Below are 20,611 nucleotides of genomic sequence, written 5' to 3'. Positions count from 1 at the left end.
TGCAGCAAGGTTGAAAACTGTTACCCTAAGACTTGGAGAACTACAATTAGTTGAGAAGAACAAAAATAATACTGTGAGTAAACTTCATGCTGGCTTCCAAATAATTGAATTTACACATGTATATAACTAGTTACCAAGTTTAATTTAACCATCAATTCCTCTTCACTTTTTATTCATGGGGGAAAAACTGTAGCATAGAAAAAGAAACCTGTGGCTTAAATGTCAAGACACTTGAATTCAAATCTCCACTTTACTTGTAACTCATTTGTAATCTCTGCAGACTCTTTTAAGATCTCGGTTTTAGTTTTCTTGTCTATAAAGTGGGGCTAGCAGTACCTCACCCTATCCCCGACTCTCAGGATGATGGTAAGGATAAAAAGGACTGACAAACTTCTAAACGCATATTGCTGGGGAAAACCTGTCTTTGTTCAGCAGTCTTCCTGATTTTGGACTGCAGTGATTTCTTGCATCTGTCCTGAGAGCATCCGAGGAGAACTAGTCCTCCTGCCCCCGCATTTTGGGAAAGGAGAAAGAACTTCCCAAAAGAGGACTGCAAAGAAACCTGCCCTCTTTCTTTCTGGCTGCCTTCCATTTTCACTGTTCAGCCTTCCTTTGGTAGGATCTGCTTGACAGGAAAAAGCCATACATCTGTGCACATTAAAGGTTGTCCGTAGGTGGAGGGGAAAAAAATGTTCACTAGAAATGTTTAATATCTTATAACACTCCTCCCCACATTGCATTACACATAAATTGGGCATGCATGGCCAATTACAGCACAAAATGCCTCTCCAGCACCCACCACACCATACTTCCCTTTGCACCCACTTGGTTAGCCATGATTAGTAACCTCTCAGAGCCAGCTCACTGCCACTGGCTTACCTAGTCTCTTACACTCAATAGTTTAGTCTCCCAATGGCGAGGAGAGGTTAGGAAAGTCAGGGCATGTGGTCTGACATGAAATGGAAAGGGAAATACAGAATTCTGCATTTTTTTTAAAAGTACCATTCACATTTGAGCATTTATATTCTCAAATTTGCAAACAATAATGCCTGTTTTATCTAAGATAAGTAATTGTTCAGGGAATGCAGTCAGATAATAGATGTCAAATGCAGTTTGTGATCTGTTAGGCATTATATAATTATATGGTTTAAGGGCAAGAGCTCAAAGTAGGGGGTCAAACAAAATTAGGAGGGAGTAATTCTCATTCTTTCAAATCTTTTCCCATGTGCTATATTGTCCTTTTATCACTAATTGTGCATGCATAAATCACTTTATTGGATGATGAGCTTTTTCAGAGAAGGGATTGTCTTGTTGGTTCAGAATTTTGGCTTTTAACAGAGTAGTAGCCATGATCCGAAGAATGAGCATAGATGCTTATTTGTCTGTGATGGGTAGCCCAGAGCCATGACATATCATAGGAATGGAAGCCCCAGTGGGGCAGGGAACTTTGCCTGTTTGGTTTACTGCTATACGCCCAGCACAATGGAACATTACCTGACGTATAGTAAGCACTCAATAAACATTTGTTGAGTAAATGGATGAGCAAATGCTTTTGGCTTGAGTTCAAAAAAAGTAAAATTTGATTTGGCAGAGTGAAATAGTAGCTGTTTTAATCTCTAGAAGGAGAGCAAGCAGAGCTCACTCCACACAAAATTCAGTCTTGAGATGCTCTTTCGGCACACCCTTCTCTTATCCTCCCAGGACAGCTCTCCCTTGCTCCCTGTTCCTCTTTGCATTGCTCTTGTTCCCTTACTCCAGTACATTTCATATGTTCTATGACTGCTTAAAACCCTTGCCTTGGAATCTGGCCTGGGCCTCCTTATTCATGCTCCCAAATTGCCTTTACTCTCCAGCTCCTTCCATTTACAACCTCTTTATCAACACTTCCTGCCCAATAGGTCATGTCAAAGTTGACAAACAACACCCATACACTGTATTGACAGTATAGGAGTTTTTTGCATTTTTATGTTGTTTTTTGAATATCTCCTCTGCCAGGACCCCTACGCCCCTCCCCCAAACTACCACACCATAGCAGGGCAGAGATACCGTACTTGAAGAAAGGCCTTCATTTATCATAAAAATGATACCGGGTATCATGCAGACGAGCAGTGAGGCTCTCCAAGGGTGAAAGAGACAGGACAAATTGTGTCCAAGTATCGAAGGAGAGAGGGTCACAACTCTTCCACTGCAGCAGCATAGCCCACTGGGCAGCAACAAAACGGCCCCAACTCAAATGCCAGCAAAGCAAAGGTGGGTCATGTCAGACGGTATATCCAGGGAAAATTCATATCTCTGCTTTATAATGGATGTTCTCTTGTACTCAAAAGGCTTCAGTGAATTATGAAAGACATTTATCAGGCATTAGAAAAATTCCAGTGTTGGAAAAAATTGACCATCATTCATCAAAGGCTTGGAGTTACAATGTATTTTTCATTATGTGATATGGAAACACATGTGCAATGAGTGGATGGGTTTCTGGTTCAACACCAAAACACCCACACTATCTTACTAGTAATTGGATTCAGCCAAATATGGGATAGTGCATTCTGGGTCATACAGCATCTTAAACTAGAAGCAAAAATCATTCCAAGGAGTACTTAAACCCAACAATGACAATTGAGACAGCCATATTATATAACTTAACTTTTGGTATCACATTGTGATGAAGACAGTAGGCTTGAACATGACCAAGTCAAATGCACCTAATGTCCAACCTTAAGCATGATAGACTCCATCTTATACCTGTTCTCTCAATCTAAATGCACTGAGGCTTTCCACTCTTAATCACTCTGCTTCTCCTTGGGCCTCATCGGTCTTTAATTGTATCTAATTGATCTCAATTTGTACCTTTAAGTTGGTAAATCGCAATCTAATTTAGAAATGCAATGGTGCTCTACATATCACTGTCTCCTTTGATCCTTCCAACAGTCTCATGTGGGTATCAAGAGAAATGCTTTTATTCTCATCTTACATATGAAAAAGAAAACCAAGTCAAAGAACAGTTACTCCGAGGTTTAACCACTACTAAATATCTGAATTGATGGGGAGCCCAGGTTTCATGACTCCCTGGTCCAATGCTCCTCAAATATGGAAAAGAACTTCTTGGCGCTTAAGGCTGTGAGACCCTCACAATGTGCCCCTCTGGGACATCTTGTAATTTCCTCTTCAGGAGCTCCTTAAGAATAGCATAAAGGCACATCCAGCTGGAACCATTTACACAAACTGTACAGCCTGGAGGCAGGGGATGGACTTAATGACCCTGGGCTAATCAATTCCTGCTTCCTAACACAAGGAGTGATTGCAAAGTAATGATCCACCAGCCCCAGACAAACATCACAGTTATACATTAAATGAAGTTTCTGATTCCTTATTCCATGATAAATGTATGGTTAATCCTGATTCCTGATCCATCATAAATTGTTCTTCTCTTCGGGGTCACTAAGTGACATTTGACTGTGAGTCGTGGAGGAAGTTGAGCTGGAGAGCTTCAGCTGGAGTGGGCGCAATATTGTAGGTATTGTAAGTGTTCACATTAATCTGTTGCCATCTGTCTTTATTTTGCTAACCCACTCAATCGGACACCATAAATGTTAACAGACATAAAAATGCTTTTCTTCAACATTAGGCACAGATATCTCCTTGCTTCATCTCCTGAATCTCAGACAGCCCTTGATTGTGGCATTGTAGGCAATGCCACAATGATACCCTAACTCCTTGAAGTGGCTCTGAACAATGATGCCATATAAGGCACTGTTCCAAATCCACAACCAGTATTTGGATTCCATTTTAAGGCTCCAGTGCTCCCATACTTGGCAGCGGATTTCTCCACTTCTTACACAGAAAGATCCAGAATGCAGCCTTTAGCTCATCCCCTAAGAATGTGGACTCAAGCTGGAGTAGTGAAGCCTAAGCCAACCACTTTCATTCTTCCAAGCAAATTGTGATGGAGCCACTACACCCCTACCCCTGTCCCACACCATCCTGCAGATCAAAACCCAGAAGAGCCCCTGTATTCTTACTACTATCTATTTTATGGAAAAGCTATTCATTTGATGTGTAGAAAGGTTCCAAACAAAAGCCTTTCCTTATATTTTCTAAGAAATATGCCATCTCTCTGGGCCACTGAGGTTTTCTTTAAAGATGCAATGGAGTGCTACATATCAATTTGCTTTATCTTCAAAGATAAAGAAAACTTCAATGGCTCAGAGATTACACTGGCAATTTGGCACCCTGGGCTTACTTTGGCAATTTTTGAAAAGACTGAAAAATCTTAGAGTTTTTAATAATCTTAGATAATTTTGAATAATCCCAGAATTTTGCTGAGACCCTTTATCTTCATTGTAGTGGATGCTGTGGTGTGCTGCCCATATCCACCCTACTGAGACTAAGACTCATTCCCTCGGCCACCAAAAGGGTTGACCATACATAGTGCTCAGCTGAGTCGCTCTCTAGGAGTTGCCTTAGATAGCCACCTTACCTAGGATGATACCCCATCCCCTAGGGCCACCCACATCTCATGATGAGTCAATGTGATCCCCTAGCCCCAATACAGGGCAACTCTGCAGAGCTATCCCAGCTCCAGAGGTCCCCAAAGGAGCAGGGCCACAAGATGCCTAGGCTTTTTGTAACTGCATCACTATTTGACTTCTCGCTCTCCTGAGTCCTGTTCCCTTCCTTCCCTGCAAAGCGAGGGCACTCACTACCCAGTGCTCTCCCAGAAACTTCTTCCTGAGGAACCTGACTGACAACATGGGTATATTTTAAAGATAATGGATTTCTAAACCAGAATCAAATACACAGCAGTGTGAGGACTTGTTTTCATTCTTCTTTTCAATATGACTGATAATTTTAAGCTTTGGGCTAGAGGGAGCCTGCATTCTAGAAAATGGTTTTCAGAGGTGACAAGGGAATTTTGTTGAGCCAGGTAAAGAATATATAAACTTTGCTCTTTCAAACACACTTAATTTTACAGTATTAAACACGGTATCATCCTGAGCCCCCTGCCAATTCTGCATCAGTTGACGTGTGAGGCCCTGTATCAGAAAAGGTAAAGAAACTGCTAATACTCCCCAACCACTCTAATTTTTCTACCCTTTCATACTCACTCTTTGAGTTTCTCATCTCCTCTGAAGGTCAGCCCTGGGGGTTTCACTCTCCCACTCTCCTCTTGATATCTTTGAAGACAAAATCCTGACTGGTGGTGTCAAGTCTTATCATCTTTTGTGTAGTAATGAAGCCAGGAGGGAGAGTAAGCACATGTTTGACAAATCCAAGATGCAGCTCCTTCCTCCCTTCTGTCCTGGCTGGCACAGTTATATCTAAGCATCCAGCCCTCCCGCAAACAGGTGTGAGCTCAGAATGCCCATGTTCTCCTCCCTGTGTTCTTCCATCCTGTACAATTCTTCATGCCTCTAAACCTGTGATTCTTGTTCTGGTTTTGCAATACCTGGGGTTGTCTCCATTTATCTCCAGGGATGTTATAAAAACCAAAAATGATTGAAATAGAGAGGATTTTTAATTTATTAACTGAGAAATGGATATTTCCGATAACACTCTTAAAAGGGAGGGAAAGTGATATGAACTCAAGATAACAGCCCTAAGTTTCACAACTCCAAAGCTATTATGAGTCATTTTATCAGTCTGACCCACAATTACTGTCTGTGTCTCTCTGATTCCATTTATGCATCCAGTGAAAAGACAGGAAGACTGCAGGACGATTCCGGAGTGGTATACTTTTGAAATCATTAACTATATCAACACTCTTTCCTCAATAAAGTGTGAAATACCCAAATAAAATTGTCACCCTTTAGCCAAAACACTTACATGTCTCTTTGGTGGCCATGGTATGTTACTTCATTTTTTGCAAATGGTTGCTTAGTTATAAGCCTGTAATTTTAATATCCATCCATAATGACCAGGTAAAACACATAATCTGACAAAAATGTTGAACCAGAGGGTAGGAGTGTAACTATAAGAGAAAGAGGACTGGGGTGTAGGAAACGTAATCATATAATGGCTTGACGTTCTCTATTTTCCAAAGGCTTTATTGAAGCATTTCTCTCAGTAATGCTGCTTTTGCAATTACATAGCAACAAAGCATTTGAAATAACTTTTTTGACATACTAAGTATAAAAACTTAAACTGAGGTGGGGGGTTTATAGAAAGCAACTTTCTTCACATGCGTTCTGCTCAAATGCTAAATGCTGCTGCAAATAACAGGAAAGATACATTCTCAAAGTTAGGACAGGCTATGTCTTGGCTGGGAAAGGGTTAAATAAAGGGAACCCGATTCCAGCCAGTCAGGGACTGAACATCCAATGAGAATTTATTTAGATGATGTAATGCTTGAATCCTGATATCCTTTTGAAAAGAGCTTGTGGTTGAAGTTTCTATAAACCAGACTGAACTGGAATTTCCTCCCAATCCAAGAGTCTTCTCTGCCTTCTGCACCATTTTCTTAGTAGTGTCGTACATTTTCTTTCCTAATGTTTGACAAAAAGCACATTTGTAACTATGGTTTGCATTTGGATCCTTTAAACGATGCTAGTCTGTGGCTTTTCATAGGCCTCTTTAATCCTTACTTGGTAATGACACAGGACTAACTGCTTAATAGAAAATTCTGAAAGACACCATCTCATCTCTGCCACCTTACTGACTAAATGCTGGCTCTTTCCATTTATGGCCTTTCCACTGATCTCCAGAGTTGGGAGGCTCATGACAAATGAAGACAGAGACCAACACTTTCAGCTACATAGCAAGATGGAAAGTTCCTGAGGGCTGTGTGGCAGCTATGGTTGCATTATCCTCTTTTCCACTAGGATGCTGTTGACAACCAAATAAGTAGAACAGTTCCAGATGACAGCAAGTCTGGTGAACTCAGGACACCTACTCAAGAAAGCTCTGAAACTCTGTTCACTCTCTAAGAACCTTCACAACTATCGTTCACTGACCTAGGGACAGACAGTTGTACACATGAAAAGACAAGGGCAATGTGCTCGGGGCTTTGTTTTAAGCTGCCTTTAAGACTTAAATCCTGGAGCTATCAAAAGAGTTAAGTTCATGAAATGGCAGGAAAGTTAAAGATTCTTAGAGCATAGCATAAATTGGCACATCTTCCAACTTAGTTGAGAAACAATGACCTTATAAGAACTATTTTTAGACTTAAAGAAACCTTTTTCTTAAAGAATTAATTCATCATTTACTACCCCGTGAAATCAAACCTCAAAATCTTGTGGTTAACCAATAATCTCTTCCAACTTGTTCCATTTGGAATAAACTAAAAAATAGCCACTAGTTTTCAAAAGTAAATGTATGCCAAACATCATAGCAATAAATGGGCTAATATATGTTTAGAAACAAAAACCTATAAAAATTGAAGACACTGCTATTTTTAAGATGGCTGGCTCTCATCATCATTATTGTCCACCTGTAGCATAGTGTCCAAGAGGACAGGAACTACCTCCTTATTGTAACCCTAACCATTAGCACAGTGCCTAGAACGTTATAAATACTTGATACAGATTTGATAAACTGAATTTAAATTTGTATTCACAAATATTTAGTAAGCATCTATTATAGAAAGCACAGTGCTAATAGGTGATGGCAAAAAGAAGTACAAAGACAAGTTTCTACCTTCTTTAGGAGAGGACTCAGTGTAATTAATCTCGAAGAGCTTGTCAGTCCAAATCACAGGGATGATTGTTGCAACCACAGATGCCTTCTGAATTGGGCTAGACAGTGTTAATAAGTGCAAGCAGGCTACTAATTTTAAGACAATAGGGTATCATAGGGATAGTAGAAAACTAGAGTGCAATCCTTGCTTAAAATTATAGTTATTCAACTTCAAATATTTTGTAATCACTGAACTGACAAAAATAGTTTTTTCAAATTTCTAGCAGATTACTGAACCATGAAGAGGAATGAAGTTCTGATACAAGCAACAACGTGAATAAACCTTGAAAACATTATGCTAAGTGAAATAAACCAGACAGAAAAGAACAAATATTGTATGATTCCACTTAAAATATCTAGAATAGGCAAATTCATAAAGACAAAAAGTAGATTAGAGTTTACCAAGGGTTAGGGGGAGGAGGTTTTGCTTAATGGTTACAGAGTTTTTGTTTGGGGTGATGCAAAAGTTTTGGAAATAGATGATGGTGATGATTGCACAACATTGTAAATGTAATTAATGCCACTTAATCACTCACTTAAAAATTGTTAAAATGGCAAATGTTACGGTATGTATATTTTACTAAATTTTTTTTTAAATTCTGGCAGATTCTATGCAATCTGACTGCCCAGTTGATACTTTTGATTCCTAGCACAAGGCTTTGTCCAATAATTGTTTGTCAAACACAGTCGACCCTCCCTATCCCTATGAGTTCCACATAGGGGATTCACCCAACCTCAGATAAAAAATATTTGGGAAATAATAAAAACTAGCATTACAACAATAAAAATAATACAAATAAAAAATACAATATAGCAACTATTTACATAGCATTTCCACTGTATTAGGTATTACAAGTAATGTAGAGATGATTTAAAGTATCCAGGAGGAGGTACATAGGTAGTACACAAATTTTTTTTTTTTTTTGAGACGGAGTCTCGCTCTGTAGCCCAGGCTGGAGTGCAGTGGCGCGATCTCCGCTCACTGCAAGCTCCGCCTCCCGGGTTCACGCCATTCTCCTGCCTCAGCCTCCCTAGTACCTGAGACTACAGGCGCTAGCCATCATGCCGGGCTAATTTTTTTTATTTTTAGTGAAGACGGGGTTTCACTGTGTTAGCCAGGATGGTCTCGATCTCCTGACCTCGTGATCCCCCCGCCTCGGCCTCCCAAAGTGCTGGGATTACAGGAGTGAGCCACTGTGCCCGGCTGGTATTACATAAATCTTAAGTCATTTTATACAAAGGACTTGAGCATCCTGAGGATTTTGGTATCCGTGGGCATCCTGGAATCAATTTATCAAGGAGCAACTGTAAATAAAAAGTTTTCCCCACCCCCATGACATCACAGAGTTTAGTGGGAATAACACAATATGTTGATTCACACAGCTATTGTCTGGCTATTTACTAGCTATGTAACCCTGGGTAAATCACCTGATCTCCCCATACCTCAGCTTCCCTGTCACTAACATGGGGATAATAATCAGGCTTACTTCCCAGGATTATAGTCAAGATTGTATGAGATAATGCTTGTAAATCTCTTTTCACTGTGGCGGGCTTATTACTATTATTAGCCTGTTATTAACATTAGAAGACTAATAAGAATTATTATTATTATTAGGAAAACTAGAAAATGAGTTGCATTTTGCTCTTAACATAATGATTTATTTATCTGACAATGGTTTTCTTAGAAACTACAGACACATCAGTCGGGCGTGGTGGCTCACGCCTGTAATCTCAGCACTTTGGGAAGCCAAAGCAGGTGGATCACCTGAGGTCAGGAGTTCGAGACTAGCCTGGCCAACATGGTGAAACTCCGTCTCTGCTAAAAAATACAAAAATTAGCCAGGCGTGGTGGCGGGCCAGCTACTCGGGAGGCCGAGGCAGGAGAATCACTTGAACCAGGGAGGCAGAGGTTGCAGTGAGCCAAGATCTTGCCACTGCGCTCCAGCCTGGGTGACAGAGTGAAACTCCGTTTCAAAAAAAAAAAAAAAAAAAGAAACTACAGACACATCAAGGTAGAGTTCACAATGATGTTTTTGAATAACCAAAGACATTACTGACCTACTGAAAATCCTTTAATGACTTCCTGTCATTTTAAGAAGTCCCAAATCCTATAGCACAGGCCTGTCTTCACCTTTTCAACCTTGCAGTGATCACTGTGGCCCCACCATCATCCATTCTGCACTTCCTAGCAGCCCTGATTTCTGTTTTGTAATCTCTGTGATTCCAGGGAAGCTGACTCTTCCCGAAGCTCCTGAGATAGACCATCTGGCCCAGGCCAGGCTAAGCAGGCCATTCCTGCCTCCTCAACACGGTGCATGGTTCAAGACAGGGCATGTGACCTCCACTGCTCCAATCAGGGTGATTCTCAGGCCTCGTACTAGGAATACCATAACAAGTTTCTTTCTCTTCTGGATGGTATGGAAGGCAGGTATGAAAGCTGGAGCTGCTGCAGTTACTTCGCTACCTTAGGAGACACAAGTCAATATGTGGGGGAGATAGGGCCAAGAAAACTAGAGAGCAATAAAGAGCTCTTGTTAAAGTTATGAGTAGAGCCAAGCTACCTCTGAAGCATTCTGTTTATTGAGCCAATAAATTCCTTTATGTTTGCAACCAAAAAGTCTTAACTGTTTTTTTAAGTCTCATCTTGCTGCATGGTTCTCCACCCTGCATTTCAGCCACACTAATCTGATTTGTATTTTAGAACCCTACTAAGCTCCTTCTGATGAAGCATTCTCACCAATGCGCTCTCTCTCCTTGCATTGTTTGTTTACCACCCTCCCTCCTGCCATTTCCCTACTCCACTTGCCCTGATTAATTCTTGTTCATCCTTAATAAATAGTTCAGCTCAAACGTCATTTCTCCAAGAAGGCCTTCACAGATCTCTTAATTTAGGTCAAGTTCTCCTAAACACCCATAACAATCTATACTTTTTCATAAGATTTATCACCATGGTAATCAGATAATTGTCTGATAAGTTGACTGATGTCTACCTTCCATGCTTGACCATCTTGTTCATTGCTGCTTTTTTTTTTTTTTTTTTTTTGAGATGGAGTTTCACGCTCTTGTCGCCCAGGCTGGAGTGCAGTAACATGATCTTGGTTCACTGCACCCTCCACCTCCTAGGTTTGAGCAATTCTTAAGCCTCAGCCTCTGAGTAGCTGGGATTACAGGTGCCCACCACCACGTCCAGCAATTTTTGTATTTTTAGTAGAGACGGGGGTTTCACCATGTTGGCCAGGCTGGTCTTGAACTCCTGACCTCAAGTGATCTGCCCGCCTCGGCCTTCCAAAGTGCTGGGATTACAGGCGTGAGCCACTGTACCCGGCCCCACTGCTGCTTTATCCCTAGTGCCTAACACAGAGCCTTGTCCATAAAAATAACATTACATAAATATTATGTTAAAAAATGACTACCTTTTTGTCCTCAAGGCTAATTCTTAAGTCTTCAGGAAAAGCAAAAACATTTTATAAGCAAACCAATAGCCAAGAAAAGAGGAGTTAAGATAAGAACAAGCTGCTGATTCTTGGCTATGGATGAAAAACTACATTCAACAAATCCTGGTTGGGCACCCGTTCTGTACAAAACAGGGACTACAGTATAGAAGACATCAGCCCTGCCCACCAGGAGCTCTTTACTGGCCTTTAATTAGCTGGGCATAGAGAATGCTGCTGCTATCAGATTCCAAGTCTCATCTATTACTCATTGCTTTGGTGCTTACTTCAAGCAGGGTCAAACCTACATTTAGCCTTTAAAAAAAAATTTGGCTTTGCCTGTGTCCTAAATAGCAGAAAAACACATGCTCTCAAGTCCTCCTTTCTTACAATTTCTTTTGAATCTGCCTTTAATCTCTAATGCTTAGAGACAAAGAGAAGAGCATTAGTTGCCTTCAAGCCTACCCTCTCCAGGCGTACAAAAGCATGTTGTAACAACCCACTGTCCACATGCAAGTCCTACTCCAATACCATCCAGCAGTAGGAGGTGACCAGGACTTAGGACTAAGGCACGATTCTGGGCGGAAAGTGGGATCCAGAAGTCAGAATCCATTTTCGTTCCAAACCATACAGAATAGTGATGGCTTTGGTATCCGAGAACAGAGCCAGGCATGGAATCACACAGACTCTCATTCAAACCTGGGTTTTGCTATGTAAAAGTACCTCACCTCTTAAAGGAGACGAGATAAAATATGTGGAACACTTTGCACAAGTCTGGCACACAGCACTCACACATTTTTAGTGCTCTTATTATTGTTAAATCCTTTGGGAGAAAAGATAACAGATTAGAGTGTAGACTTCTTTCCCTCAGCTTTTGTTTTGAGCTCAGGCTGCTTTATTCAGTGATGACCTGTATTGACTTCATAAGCAGATACTTCCTTGGAGATTTTAGCTATATTTTCCCCCTGGGCCCACTTTATGCTGAAACAGTAGCACGGATGGTGAGACAGTTTAATGCCATTGCCTTACCTCCTGATAACAGTGTGGTTGACATGTCAGCCCTCCATGTCAAAATATTATGACAACCATAATAAGTAAAATAAATTAAAAACACTTATTGATTTTAAGTGTTATCATTTCCTTCTACTATCAATGACATAAGATGTCAAATGTGATATATTTGAAGTATATTTTAAGCAAGATAATTAATGAATTGGATTTTGGAGTTGATTATTTAACATACTTTATGCAATTTGATGAAAAATCCCCATATGTAGACACAAATCAACAGAAGCTCCTGGCCATGAATATTGTAATACACAATCCCAATGATACCCTTCCTACCAAGGCATCATGCCCATACACATGAGCTGAGAGAAGAGAGAGAAGTATGCTGTTGACCTTGCTCACACCATTCTGGTAGAAATCAGCAGCCAACCCAGCATTCATACAAAACTTAGGAGAATTGGAGTAGTGGTAATTTGCTCTTCATTTTATCCCAACCCCATCAAGATCTGCCTTCTCTGGACTGAAGGTTTCCTATGCAAGGATAGAGATTGGGCTGGGGCAGAGGTACACCCAACCAACCACCACCTTCTGGACCCCGTCAGGGGTGACATCACGTTTTCATGAGGGAAGGCTTTAATAAGGACAAAATCCAAGTGCTACAGAAGATGAAAAGCCCCGTGCTCTTCTGCACTGGAGAGTGAAGCTTTTGATACAACAATGTGGTTAAAAAGAAGGAGGAGAAAAGGAAGCAGAGGCGTCAATTACAATTAGAGATTTCCTGACAGGGCCTATGCTAAACGAGTTATAGAGGCAATTACCCTAAAAATTTTGAAGCGGCCATTTGCTCAGTAACCTACACCGACCTGACACCCAAGCAGAGATTGCCATAAGCAGGGAATCTATGGTGTTAGAATGCTGCTTTAGCATAAATTACCTCAGGGAACAGATTTAAACCAGTTGCGTTTTTAAAAATTATGCAACAACAACAACAACAAAATGAGTTTATGCAAACTCAATACCAATTGCAGAATGGGGCCCTCTAAGTCTTTATCTTCAAAGATGCTGCATTCTTTCCCTGTTTGTTTTCTCTCTCTGGATGAAGATTCACAGCATTAATACATAATAACTGTATCTCACTCCATTACAGGTAGTTCAAGGCCGCTCTGCATAAACTATATGCACGGCTTTGTGTCTTCATCTTTAAAACAACCAAGTATCTTGGTCGCAGACATACGTTAGGTTTAATGCATCCCCTGCCGTAAAAGTCTTGCTTAAGACTAATGAACAAACAAATGTTTGTTTAAACCTCTTTGTGAAAATCAAACAAGCTTTCAACAGCTATTCATGTTTTTATTGTCAGATGTGAATCATCACTTAGGTGCTTTGCCCTGAACTATTACCAGTTAATGCTCATAGTTTCATGGTACTAATTCACTTGCTATGGTTTTCGTTTTTTGTAGCGTTGTTCCCCCCCACCGCCCCCCCACCTTCTTCCTTTCTGTCAGTACCATCTCCAGAAGGGCACTGTATGAAAAGTCCCTTATTGTTTCTGGCAGAACTGACACATTTGTGCCTAGCATAGTGATGCTGTTGTCCGCAGAAGGGTCACAGCCTTCAGGGACTCTCCTGCCAGTGCTGTATTTCGCCTGCACCCCTCTGGCTTGGCTTCTGCACTGAGACCCTCCTAGGCAAGTGAGCACAAGCAAGACACTCTCCCTGCCTCTTCCCCCACCCCTCCTCACAAAGTAGCTGTTTTTTCAGACTCAGCAGCACCTGAAAAGCTCCCACAAGATTTACCCATTATATTAAATAACAGGTTTTAGAAGCTGGGAACTGTTATTCTAGTGTTGCTCGGTGTCATTAAGGTTGCACGTCTATGCTTGTTTAATTTTTCTTCTGCCATTAAGCAAACTAAATGCTTGGAGGTTTCTTTCTGTCTCAGTGGGGTCCACCCAGAATAGAAAAGAGAATAAGTGTTCCAGGGTTGTGTAACTGGGTTTTTTTGCTGCTTTCATTATGAGGAAGGAATTAAAAATCCCTCCTAGTCAGTACTTAAAATATCAAAGTCATTGTTTAATGCCTTTGAGTCACTGTACAACTAATTCAATTGCACAGTGTAGCGCCGTTTCACGGTGTGTGAAACACAGATAGTACATAGAAGTGATTGCAAAGTTGAATAAACACCAAATTAGTTTTAAAAGTCTGCAACTTCCCGGTGGAGTCTTTCAAACTGAACGGCACTATTGTCTGACAAAGTCGATGGTCGCCAAAAGGTTGCATTACCTTCTGCTTGTCCTAATGTGAGAGAGTGTCCCCTGACACTGTGGCACCTGGAGGAGAAGGCCGTCCTCTGGGAGGCCTGTGTGCTGACAACTCCACATAACCAGCCTGCTTGTCACTCAGGGAGACATGGCCACACAACACAGCCTGGAGTGGACAAAGAAGAGAGGTGGTGTAGGTGAAAGAAAGGCCATGGCCAAACAAGAGACCCCAGGACAATTTTTAAAGCAGTTTGATATAGATGAAATATTGTAATTTGAGAATTAAAAAGACAAAGTTAAGCCCCATGCTTTGTTTATTCCTGGCTGTGAGACCATTTTCAACTCATTTAACATTTCCGAGCCTCAGTCTCCTTATCTGTGCCCGTTTGGTCAATAACAATTATTGACTAACTATTATGTATTTTCTAGGCACTGTTCTAAGTGCTGCGGTGCTGGGGCCACAATATCAAACAAAGCAAGTGAGTCGGTGTCCTCAGTGAAGTTTATTGTATATTATAAACAATCAGAATTCAAAGACAATCATATAACCAACACTTTTTGATGGCTTAGGATGTGCCAGGTACTGTGCCAAGGACAAGAGATATAACCAGACACAAACCAATCCCCATCCTCAATCATTACCCATTCACCCAACAAATATTTTTGAGCACCTACCCTGCACCAGGCACTAGGGATATAACAGGTAAAAATTAAGTCTCTGGCTTCATGAAGCTTTCGTTCTGATGGAGTGAGACAGTCAATAAGCAAATAAATGGCCTATTCTCCCACCCCTTCAAGTCTTCACTCAAATATTCCTTTTTCAATGACACTATATGACCACCCTATTTAAAATTTCAACCACCATGCTGCATTCATTGCTTTTCATCTTGCTAAGATAGTTAATATGTGTTAATTTGACTGAACCACAAGGTGCCCAGATACTTGGTCAAACATTATGCTGGGTGTGTGTGAGCATGGTTTTGGATGAGATTAACATTTGAATCAGTACACTGAATAAAGCTTATTTCTTTCCCCAGTAGATGATCCTCAATCAATCACTTAAAGGCCTGAATAGAACCAAAAGTCTGACCTGCCCATGAGTAACAGAGAGCTCCTTCTGCCTGATTGCTTCAGCTGAGATATCGGCCTTTCCCTGCCTTTGGAATTGAACTGCAACACTGGCTCTTCTTGGGCCTCAAGACTGCCAGCTTTTGAACTGTAACCACACTATCATCTCTCCTGGTTCTCAGGCCTTTGGACTCAAATCAGAAGCATACCAGGGGCTCTCCTACATCTCCAACTTGCTAACTGTGATCTTGAGACTTCTTAGCCTCCATAATCACATGAGTCAATTGTTGGTTCTGCTTCTCTGGAGAACCCTAATCCATCACTCTACATCTTTGTTCCATTATACATATTGCTTCCCAGCATATTAAATAATTTATCGATTATATTTTTGGTTTATTATTTATTTCTCCTACTGGAATGTAAGTTTCACAGAGCTCTTGTTCATTGCTAGATCTCAAGCCTGGCATCTAGTAGGTATTCAGCAAATAGCTGTTGAAAGATGAAAAAATAAATCTAATCTGCCAAGTGGAGGTAGGTACTGCGAAGAAGAATAAAACCAAATAAAGGAACTTGAGGGGAACAACAGCACTTCTTTTTATAGAAGGTAGTTAGGTCCTGGTGGGACAATGGACATTACTACTGGGATATAATGTTTATCTTCCAAACTAGGCTATCTTTCTTAATCCTGAGATCCTTGCAGATTCACATGGAGTTATAAGAAATAATACAGAGAAATCTCATGTATCCTCTACCCAGTTTCCTTGAATAGTACCATCTTGCAAAACAATAGTACAATATCATAATCAAGATATACCTATTGATACAATGTACAAATCTTATTTGGATTTTCCAAACTTAACTTGTACTCATTTGTGTGTGTGTTTGGTTTTATGCAATTTTTCTCATGTTTAGGTTCAGGTATCCACCACCACAGTGGAGATATTAAACAGTTCCTTCACTACAAGGATCTCTCATGTTGCCTTTTAAAACCACATCCACCTCTGCACCCTTTACCCTTACCCTTTTCCAATCTTGGGCAACCACTAATCTGTCCTCCATTTCTATACTTTTTGCAAACTAGGATACTTTTGAAAGCAATTGGAATACTATTAATAATTATGGCAGGACAACTGGTTAATTAGCACTGTCCCTGATGAAACACATGTGGCCATCTCTTTATTATAGAACAATCATGATATGGTTTGACTCTGTGTCCCCACCCAAATCTCATCTTGAATTGTAATCCCTATGTGTCAGGGGAGGGGTCTAGTGGGAGGTGATTGAATGTTGGGGGCGGACTCCCTCCTTGCTGTTCTCGTGATAGTGAGTGCATATTTTTTTATATACAAGGCACACCAATGAGTACTTTTTAATTAATCACAAGATATGGTTGTTTGGAAGTGTGTGGCACTTCCCCATTCACTCTCTCTCTTTCTCTCCTGCCGCCATGTAAGAAGTGCCTTGCTTCCCCTTCTGCCATGATTGTAAGTTTCCTGAGGCCTCCCCAGCCATGCGGAACTGTGAGTCAATTAAATCCCTTTTCTTTATAAATTACCCAGTCTCAGGTAGTTCCTTATAGCAGTGTAAAAATGGATTAATACAAATCATAACAACTACATCTAACAGTCATGGAATGGGTTCAGCATGCCAGGCACTGCACTGATCTTTGTCCACATTATTACTTTTAAAACTCAGAAAAAAGCATGAGGCCAATACTGTTATCGTTCACATTTTACAGAGGAAGAAACAGAGGCAGCGAGGCATGAAAACACCTGTCTAGGGTTACAGGGTATACAGCTTTCAGAGCCAGGAATCATAACCAGGTCTGTCTTGTTCTAAAGCTCGCCTTTTGTAACTCCTGCACATTAAACAAATAATTACAACTAATTTATTAAATAATTACAAGTGAGCAAAGTGTTTTGAAGGAGAAGTACAAAGGGCTACTGAAGCATAAAATGGGAATTGGAAAAATACCTACCTCGCCCAGAATTATTGTAAGAATTAAAAAGTACTCATTGGTGCACTTTGTATATCAAAAAGAACCTTTAAAAATGTTCTGCATTGTCAACATTTATACCAGGAGAGATAGTCTTATATGGACCTTCATCACCTTGAATTTCCAAAATGTTAAGTGCCATCTCCTTAACAGTGCAATAGCTTTCTGTATATACTTTGGAATACTGACATAGAATAATGAAATTTAAATTTTTAAAAATCTACAGTTTCTGACAGCAACCCAAAGGAAGTATTCACCCTGACATCATAAACTGTATAGTAGAGTTAGCCCTACAGAAGAAATTGTCTATGATTTCCCCCAGAAGTGAGGATCCATCACTGAGGGAAGGAGTCTTACAGACTCAGAATCAAGTGGGATGTCCTGGAAGAAAAGCAAACGAACAAAAGGCCCACTAGGTGGAGTGAAATGGATCAGGAGCAATTATGTTCAATTTTACCTTAAGTTTTCTCAAAAGGAGGAGCATTAAGAATCAGCCACTTTAGTACATACTTAAAGTTCAATATTACATTTAAGAAAATCCTTGTTATCTTAACGTGGCACTGAGAAAATACTATCAAGTACAGCACTTGGACTAAGTTAGAACATTAAATACATAAGATCTCATGATAGAATTATCCTCAGACTTTCCAGTTCTAATCTTCTAGTTTTACTGAGATCTGATCCTGTGCCCACTGATGAAATATCAGAGGAATGGGATCCTGTAGGTGAAGATCATCAGCTTATAAAATCCTGTTGCCATCAATGGGGGTGGCAGGGAAAGGATGAAGATTGGTTAAGGGGCCAGTGGACTCAGCATTGAAATGAATCATGGACTTGAAGCCAAGAGACTCAGTTTGTGTCCCAGCTCTCTCAAGCAAAGCCCCCAAGTCCCAGTTTCCTCATCTATAAAAAAGAATAAAAATACTTAATGGACAAAGTTGTGTGGGAATCAAATGGGATAAAGTCTTATATAAATAAAGTCTTATATAAATAAAGGCATTCTTTTCATCTGAGAAACTGAAGAAAAAGATGCCGTGAACAAGAAAGACAGGAGAAAAGTTTTTTTTTTAATGAAGGATAAAATGATGAAATCCCCCCAGGTATTCCTACAGAAAGGCCTTACCAAGAGCTGTAGGCATATGTCTGGTCCTAAGGTCCATTTTGGAGTAGCCCAGCACTCAGCCTGGAAAAATGGACACTGAGAAATATGTGCATCCCATTTTTCTAACTAGCAGCATTTTGATCCTGTCTTATTATCCATACCCAGGCTAGCACACATGATTTTTTCTGCTTGCACTTCAGGAGAAGGTAGGCAGTGGACAAAAGGTGGGTCATTCTCATGTTGACCAGGTTTCTGTTCCAGTATCACCCTCCCAGATAGGCCTTTATTCACTCTAAATAGATTACACTGTCTTAAATAGCTACCTTTCCTGCACACAGTCTCTTACTATGCCATTTGCTGTCAAAGCTCTTCTCACTCCCTGATATGATTTTGCATGTTGATTTGCTTGTTCATTGCATGTTCCCTCACTACAATATAAATGCCTTGCCAGTTTTGATCACTACCATATCCGTAAGGCCTAAGAATGTTCAGTACATACTAGGTGCTCAGTAAGTACCTTTTTTTTATAAGTGAATGAATGAATTCTATTCTTGTCCTATTCCATTGACATTTTCCTGTCTTAGCTGCCTTGGACAGCTCTGAAAGTTCTTCTGCTATTTTGCACACTATTGTCTTTCTCTGTCATTTGAATCTTTTCCTTACTTAGTTTGGGTTCCTCCAATAGTAGAGCTTGAGACAAGGGTTTGGATACCTGTAGTCTATTTGGAAGGTGATCCCAGGATTGGAGAGAATAGGGAGAGTAAGAAGAGAAACAAAGAAGACCCAACAAAAAAGTGCCTTACCTGGGTTGCTGATGTGGGCAGCAGGCACTCAGTTCCATCTGGATTTCCTGAGAGATATGCAGAATACCTCCCAAAATACAGAGGATGGAACATTAATTCACACAAACTGAAAAGTTTGAAAAAAAAAATTAGTCCTTGCCCTTGAGAAAACTTTACTCTGAGTAAAAATGAAAACAAGAAATGCTTGTGATGTATTCATTGTATCAAAGGGAATTAAATTTTATTGAGTGCCAAACATGGGCCAGGCCCTGTACCTGGCAACTTATATATATCATCTTATTTCGTTATGGCAACAGGACCTGCCATATATCAGGCTGCTACCATTTAACCAGGTTCTTCACACGCATGTTCTCACCAGTTCTTACAACTAGTCAATACAAGTTTTTATTTCCATTTAAGAGATGAGAAAAGTTGAGACTTGGGGAAAAGAAATAGCTTGGCCTAGGTAACACCATCAATTCATAGCAGATCTTTCTGACTCTACAGCTTGTCCTATAGAGAAACAATTACATGTGAGGAAAATACAGGGCAATATAAATTTAAGTGAGTGACTACATAACACTTTCTTGTGAAGAGTTATAGGAATTCAGAGAAGGCAATGTGCAACATGAGGGCCATAGTTAATAATACTATATTGTATACTGGAAATTTGCTAAGACGGTAGATTTTAGGTACTTGTACTGTAAAAAAAGAAAGGTAACTATGTGAGATGGTGAATATGTTAACTTGCTTGACCTTAGTAATCATTTCACTATATGTATATATATCAAAATGTCATGTTGTATTCCTTAAATTTATATGATATAATAATATAAATAAACAAAAAATTAAATAAATAGAATTCATAGAAGTGAATGACTCTTGTGAGCTACACTTAAATTTAACAAGATTTTATTAAGAAGGTTAGGTTTTTAAAAAATTTTAAGAGAAAAGCGGGAAGGAGAAAATGGATTCCTCTAGGCCAAGGAAACAGCTGAAGAGAAAAGCATAAAGATGAGGTAACTGGCTTCATGGAACCTGAATTATTTTTCATCAAAAAGCTCAACCCCCCCCCATATTATCTTTCATAAATAAGTAGTGTGCCATTATGGAACATGAAAGGTATGGATTTAGAACATGATCTAGGTTAAACAAAAAAGAGGAAGAAAACTAAAACAAAGAACAAAATCCAGATTGTTGGGATGATTCTGAGGCCCTAGAACCTTAGGAACTCTAAACTCTTTCAAAGTGTATTTGAAAAGACATATATTCAGTGTGTGTAGTCTGACAAC

At 40.1% G+C, this 20,611-nt stretch overlaps 1 long non-coding RNA gene across 1 annotated transcript in view; it reads right to left on the bottom strand.

Moving 5' to 3' along the window:
- Positions 1-19,440, bottom strand: part of LOC107985408 (uncharacterized) — a 28,253-nt gene extending 8,813 nt beyond the window's left edge. Inside the window, exons 1-2 of the long non-coding RNA XR_001737795.1 lie at positions 19,341-19,440; positions 14,394-14,537 (exon numbers count right to left, since the gene is read on the bottom strand). This is a non-coding gene — a long non-coding RNA (uncharacterized LOC107985408). The remainder of the gene's footprint in view (positions 1-14,393; positions 14,538-19,340) is intronic.
- Positions 19,441-20,611: the final 1,171 nt, after the last annotated feature.

Source organism: Homo sapiens, chromosome 1 (assembly GCF_000001405.40).
Source record: "Homo sapiens chromosome 1, GRCh38.p14 Primary Assembly".
NCBI lineage: Eukaryota > Metazoa > Chordata > Mammalia > Primates > Hominidae > Homo > Homo sapiens.
The sequence above is the reverse complement of the archived record's forward strand: the minus strand, read 5'-3'. Positions and strand labels throughout refer to the sequence as shown.